Source organism: Homo sapiens, chromosome 7 (genome assembly GCF_000001405.40).
Source record: "Homo sapiens chromosome 7, GRCh38.p14 Primary Assembly".
NCBI classification, from domain to species: Eukaryota; Metazoa; Chordata; class Mammalia; order Primates; family Hominidae; genus Homo; species Homo sapiens.
Window position 1 is genome coordinate 70,933,120 of NC_000007.14, and position 6,936 is coordinate 70,940,055.

The 6,936-nt window shown below is 47.3% G+C and overlaps 1 annotated feature.

Annotated features, from left to right (window-relative positions):
- Nucleotides 1,879–2,381: an enhancer, noted in NCBI's record as "H3K4me1 hESC enhancer chr7:70399984-70400486 (GRCh37/hg19 assembly coordinates)". NCBI's record gives its function as "activates a minimal SCP1, AML or CMV promoter by ChIP-STARR-seq in naive H9 embryonic stem cells {active_cell/tissue: H9 hESC(naive)}" and the evidence as "EXISTENCE:reporter gene assay evidence [ECO:0000049][PMID:30033119]".

Consider the following 6,936-nt stretch of genomic DNA (forward strand, 5'->3'; position numbering starts at 1 on the left):
GCTGATTTCTGATATGGAGAAAGATAATTGATGTTGTGGTTGATTTTGTATCCTGCAACCTTGCTGAACTTACTTACTAGTTTTAGGAGTTATTTTTATGGATCCCTTGAGATTTTCTATGTAGGTAATCATGTTGTCTATGAATAAGGACAGTTTTATTTCTTCTTTTCCAATCTGTATGCCTTCTATATCTTTTTCTTGCATTAGTTTACTGACTTTAATTTCCAGTGTGATCCTGAATAAGAATGGTAGGAGTGAACATCCTTGCGTTGTCCCTAATTTTAAGGGGTAAAATATTGACTTTTTTCCCATTAAATGTGAGGTGAGCTTGTAGGTTTTTTTTTAATAGATAGACTGTATCAGCTTGAGGAATTTTTCCTTCTAGTTAACTGAGAATCATTGTGTTTTTAAGAATCACATATGGATATGAAGTCGAATATTTTTTCTGCATTCATTCATATGGTCACATGCTTTTTCTTCCTTCAACTGTACTTTGACCCATGTTTGGGTGGATACAGATGGAGAGAAGGGAAAATGAAGAGTGGCAAGAAGGAGACAAAGAATTCAGCAGAAGTAGTGAATTGCAGCAAGAAGTAGCTAGAAGAAATGTAAGCTTTCCCCTCCACTAAAGAATTCTGATGTATTGGAAAGATCTTAGACTTCTTGCTATATAAGGGATGAAGCTCAATGTTTTTATTGAAGTTCTAAAAGACAAGGTTGACTTTAGCAGTCTGGAGGACTTAGGGACACCTGAGACAGATGACTTCTAGGGGAAATATGTCCCTCTACTCTTGGTTCGGCCTTTTGTGTGCAAATTAATCAATGCATTTGATGAAGCTTCCAAGTCATCACCCAGGCCAATGCCCAGCATATGACAGGTACTTTATATACACCTGTCAGATGAGTGACTGAGTGAAATGTCATCAACTAGACAGTATGACATTGTGATTAAAAGTATGAGTTAGGAGCTGAATACCTGAGTTGAACTGTGGCTCTTCCTCTGTAGAGGCTACACTTCAGCAAGTTATTGAAGCTCTTTATAGCCTGGGCAACATGGAGAATCCCCATCTTTACAAAAAATACCCAAAATTAGCCAGATGTGGTGGTGTGTGCCTGTGGTCCCAGCTACCAGGGAAGCTGAGGTGGGAGGATCACTTGAGCCCAGGAGGTTGAAGTTGCAGTGAGTCGTGATTGCACCACTGCACTCCAGCCTGGGTAACAGAGCGAGACCCTTTGCAGGGCTTAGTAAAGTGCCTGGCCCATAATGACTACAACGTAAGTCTGACTGTTCTTATTATTATTCACGTTCATTTTCAGGATTGAACACTCTGCCATTACTTTTTCATTACATTTCCATCATTTTCTTCCTTCCTTCCTTTCTATCGCTCTCTTTTAAAGTAAAGCTTAAAATAGTTTCTCCTATGGCCATAGAATTGGAAACAACTGTAGTGGCAATCTAATTCAAGCTTCGTGCTTTCTGTGTGAGGAAAGGGAGGCTCAGAGAAGCCAAGTGGTCCCCTCATCTGGGGCATCTGGGGTTTCGGTCACCTGCAGCACCATTGCAAAGCTGAGCTTGAGCTTGTTCTCCTCTAGCCACAAATCAGTTGCAGTTCAGGACCCTCAAAACAACCCAAATATTTAATATCTGCATTGTTGGAAGTTACAGTGCAGGTGCCCATTCAGGACCAGGAGACTTGTAGCTTGAAACATGGCAGTCACTGCATCAGTGTGCTGGAAAGTGGACAGGCAGATACAGTGCAAGGGCAGAGTCAGCAACAAACACTGTCCACACCTCCTCCTCCAGGAGGAGGCTGTTCTGAGACCTGGAGAAAGGCTTCATTTCCTGGCTAGTCCCCTGATAGGTCACACATTCCCGGAGGCTGCCTTTGTCGCCCCTCATCTTTCCTGGCCCCTGAAGCCATTTAGTTGCTTCTCCAGCAAAGGGCTGAGGCAGCAGCCTTGCAAATCTCCATGACCCACCTTGTCTTGCCCAGAATGCATTTGGTGCACGTGTCCATAAATATTTTAGGCCGTGCTGCTTAGTTATTAATGGAGTGAAATGAAAGATAATTCTTTAGCCTCTCCCCTTCTCTACAGGTTGAAAACGAGAGCCAGAGTTTGAAGGGCTGGAGTGACAGGTGTTTAGGGACTTGGGATGCTGGGGGTGAAGCTGCAGATGAATTTTCTCTGTCCCGTCCTTATTGTGAAAAGAGGGCCCTGGTCCCTTGATTCCAAAGAACCAGAGTTACCCTCTTTTCCCCTGATCCCTGGAAGGTGGGGTACAGATGTTGTCCTGTGACGCCTGTCCCCACTTCGTGCACGGAGCGGACTGCCCAGCATGCACAGATGGAATGGGAACAACTGCAATGACCACCTTCGGAAGAGTGAGCCTGGGAGGCCCCCTGGAGCCCCAACTTGGGGCGGAGGCTGGTGACCTGTCAGCCACTCTCAGACAGTCCCACCCTATGGCCTGAAAGGGTGGTGGCCAGGTAGGTGGTTGACTTTCCTCCCTGCCCCCTCTTCCTTATTCAGTGTTAAAGAGCTAGCATTTGAGGGTGGCCTCGGGTGACAAATTCCCCACTGTTAAAACCCCCTGTGGGTTGGCAGCAGCCAGGAAGAACCGGCTTTTTGTCTGGGAGTAGAGGCAAGGGCGATGGCTTATCTCACTGTTCCTTTTCATTTGGGACATAATACATCCCACAAAGCTCAGGTCCCGCACTGAAAAAATCAATTACATTGCACAGCATTTTTAGTGCTCTGAGTCTCCGAGCAAAGGAAATAGGTGAGACATTGTCGTCATGGTAGCTGGTCGCAAATCGTCTCTTAAAATAGTATCCACGCTCTGTAAGTAGGGGCTTCATGCTTCAAGACTAATAGCGAAGACATACTCTCACCACGCCTCCTCTTGTGTTTACATGGGAGCTGCCGCTCGACCTGGCTCTGGGAGGAGCCTCCTTCCTGAATGGACTGAAGCTCCCAGCTCCAGGCCACAACCTGGGATTTAGGCTCAGGGATTGCTACTCTTGTCTATTCAATTCATTAAAAGATCCTCAGTGATGTGCCGGGCACTGTTCTAAGCACTGGAGATGCAGCCATGAACAAGAGGACAGGCCATTGACCTTCTAGAGCTTACGTTCTAGTGGGGATGGCTAATCATCAATAGGATACAAAGACATAACTTTGGGGAGTGAAGATGAAAGAGGGACCGAGTGTGTGTATGTGTGTATGTGGGTCAGGGGTGTTTTTTATAGAGAGTGCATCAGCAAAGGCCTCTCAGATCTGAGAGATGAGAATGAAGTGGGCATTTGGAGCCCTTGATTACTGGGGGATGCACTTTCTCTACGTAGCACAGTGCCATCACACACCTGGTGTCTCCCTGCCCCTTTCTTCACTATACCCAGGGCAGGGAGACCTACTGATCTGATTGGTAGAGTTCGGGAGAATACACAAGATACCTTCAACTCTCCCCCTTGGGAGCAAGGTGCTCATGGGGTGCAGGACTTCTCCTCTGCTCTGAGTCTCATCTTGGTGAGACTGGCCTGTGCTGTGTGGTTGGGCTCAGGTCTGGCTGGAGAGGTTCCACTGGTTCTGGGGTACAAGATTCAGGCTACTCAGTGTTTACATCTAGCTCCACACTCCAACCTGGCCTTCATGACTCATGAAAGGGAGTAATAAGTGTCTTTTGCCATTTTGGTGGGTCTTGTTTCTCAAATTGGGAAGATAAGGGCTTTTATTGGAGCCCTTCCAAGACTCCAGCTTTGGAGAAGGAAGCTCCACATGAATCGGAGAACGTGCAATGGTTCTGAGGTAGGAGGGAACTTGGCCCATTTGAAGATGAGAAAGAGGCCAAGTCTGGCCAGGACAGAGTGGTCAACTAGGAAAGTGTTAAGGAAGAAGAGAGAGGTGGGGCAGATGGATGGTCTCAGAGGTCTTGGGGTGGAGTTTTGTTTTAAGCCCATTTGGGAGGATTTTAAGCACAAGGGTGGCATAGTCTGGTTTCTTTTTTTTTTTTTTTTTTTGAGCTGGAGTGCAGTGACCTGATCTTGGTCCACTGCAACCTCCGCCTCCCAAGTTCGAACGATTCTCCTGACTCAGCCTCCTGAGTAGCTGAGACTACAGGTGCCCGCCACCATGCCTGGCTAATTTTTGTATTTTTAGTAGAGACAGGGTTTCACCACCTTGGCCGGGCTGGTCTCGAACTCCTGACTTCAGGTGACTGCCCACCTCGGCCTCCCAAAGGGCTGGGATTACAGGTGTGAGCCACCATGCCCAGCCTGATTTCTATTAAACAGAACAAAGCGGAAGGCGAGGAGACCAGTTAGGACAAGGCAGCAGTTTTCTAGGTATGATACAATGGCAGCTTGGAGAAGGTCTTAGTGAAGATGGAGAGAGAGGTTGCTGTATTCTGGAAGTAGACCCAAGAGGACTTGTTGAAAGGTTGGAAGCATTTGGGGAAAGAGGATTACAGAGAAAACCTAGGAAGTCAAAGTGGGCCAGCTGTGCTGACTCACATCTCAGACTCAGTGCGGCTGGGGTGGCTGATCCAATGGCCAATGGAGAGGCACAAGGCTTGATGGGGAGCCCATGTACCAGGAGGACACAGGGTAAAGAGCCAGGAGGGAACCTGGCCAGCCCTAGTGTCTTAGTCTATTTTCTGTTGCTTATATTAGGTTGGTGCAAAAGTAATTAAAAGTAATGGCAAAAACCACAATCACTTTTGCATCAACAAATAACAGAATATATATTTTTCTGAGATGGAGTTTTGTTTTTCCCACCTAGGCTGGAGTGCAATGGCGCGACCTCGGTTCACTGCAAACTCTGCCTCCCAGTTTTAAGTGATTCTCCCACCTCAGCCTCCTGAGTAGCTGGGATTACAGGTATGCACCACCATGCCCAGCTAATTTCATATTTTTAGTAGAGACAGGGTTTCACCAAGCTGGCCAGGCTGGTCTCGAACTCTTGACCTCAGGTGATCCACCCACCTCGGCCTCCCAAAGTGCTGGGATTACAGGCGTGAGCCACTGTGCCCAGCTTAATAACAGAATACTTGAAACTGGGTAATTTTCAAAGAAAATGAATTTCTTATAGTCCTGAAGGCTGAGAAGTCAAAGTTCAAGGGGTACATCTGGTGAAGGCCTTCTTACTAGTGGGGACTCTCTGAACAGAGTCCCCAGGCAGTACAGGGCATCACACGATGACATAGTTCGGATATTTATCCCTGCCCAAATCTCACATTAAATTGTAATCCCCAATATTGGAGGTTGGGCCCGGTGGGAGGTGACTGAATCATGGGGGCAGATACCTCATGAATGGCTTGGGCCATCCCCTTGGTGATAAGTGAGCTCTCGCTCTGAGTTCACACAAGAACTGGTCATTTAAAAGCGTGTGTCATCTCCCCCTGCTCTCTCTCTCTCTTTCTTGCTCAGGCTCTGGCCATGAGATGTGCCTGCTCCCTCTTTGCCTTCCACCATGATTGGAAGCTTCTGGAGGCCTCCCTAGAAGCTGAGTAGATGTCAGCACCCGCTTCCTGTAGAGCCTGCAGAGCTGTGAGCCAATTAAACCACTTTTCTTGATAAATTACCCAGTCTCAGCTATTTCTTTTTTTCTTTTTGTTTTTTGGTTTTTTTTTGAGATGGAGTCTCGCTCTGTTGCCCAGGCTGGAGTGCAGTGGCGCAACTTGGGCTCACTGCAAGCTCCACCTCCTGGGTTCCCGCCATTCTCCTGCCTCAGCCTCCCTAGTAGCTGGGACTACAGGCGCCTGCCACCACACCCGACTAATTTTTTGTATTTTTAGTAGAGACGGAGTTTCACTGTTAGCCAGGATGATCTCGATCTCCTGACCTCGTGATCCACCAGCCTCGGCCTCCCAAAGTGCTGGGATTACAGGCATGAGCCACCTCGCCTGGCCTCAGCTATTTCTTGAGAGCAATGCAAGACTGGCCTAATACACATGGAAAGGGGGCTGATTGTGCTGACTCAGTTCTCTCTTCTTCTTCTTATAAAGCAAACAGTACCACTCCCATGATAGCCAATTCATCCATTAGCCCACTATTCCTTTAATTCATTAATCCATTCATGGATTAATCCATTTGTGCAGGCAGAGCTGTCATGATCTGATCACCTCTTAAAGGCCCCACCTCTCAATACTGCCACATTGGGGAATGAATTTCAATATGAGTTTTGGAGGGACAAATATTCAAGCCATAACACCTAGGAGGAGGGCAAGGTACAAGTCTTCCTTCACACAAAGCCATGCTTATTTGTTAAATGAGCAGACCCTCACACCTTATCCCATTAATGATGTTATGGTCCTTTGGGTCTACCAAGCTAGAACCCTCAGAATAATGATCAATGCCATTGTTCCCCTGACCTCCTCTCTCCAACACTTTGGCAGTCACTACTCTACTGACTCCACCCCTACCCCACCGCAAATGTCTTTGCCTTTTTCTTCTCTCATGCCTAGCATAAACTTTCTTTTTTATTATTTATTTACTTATTTGAGACGCAGTTGCACTCTTGTCACCCAGGCTGGAGTGCAATGGCGTGATCTCGGCACACTGCAACCTCCGCCTCCCAGGTTCAAGCGACTCTCCTGCCTCAGCCTCCCGAGTGCTGGGATTACAGGTGTGTGCCACCATGCCTGGCTAATTTTTGTATTTTTAGTAGAGACAGGGTTTTGCCACATCGGCCAGGCTGGTCTCGAACTCCTGCCCTCAGGTGATCCGCCCACCTTGGCCTCCCAAAGTGATGGGATTAGAGGTGTGAGCCACCATGCCCGATCACCTAGCATAAACTTTCATCTCCTCCCAGGAGTTGTTCTTTTTTATTTCTATTTTTTGAGACAGAGTCTTGCTCTGTCACCTAGGCGGAAGTGCAGTGGTGCGATTATAGCTCACTGCAGCCTCTGGGACTCAAGCAATCCTCCCATCTCAGCCT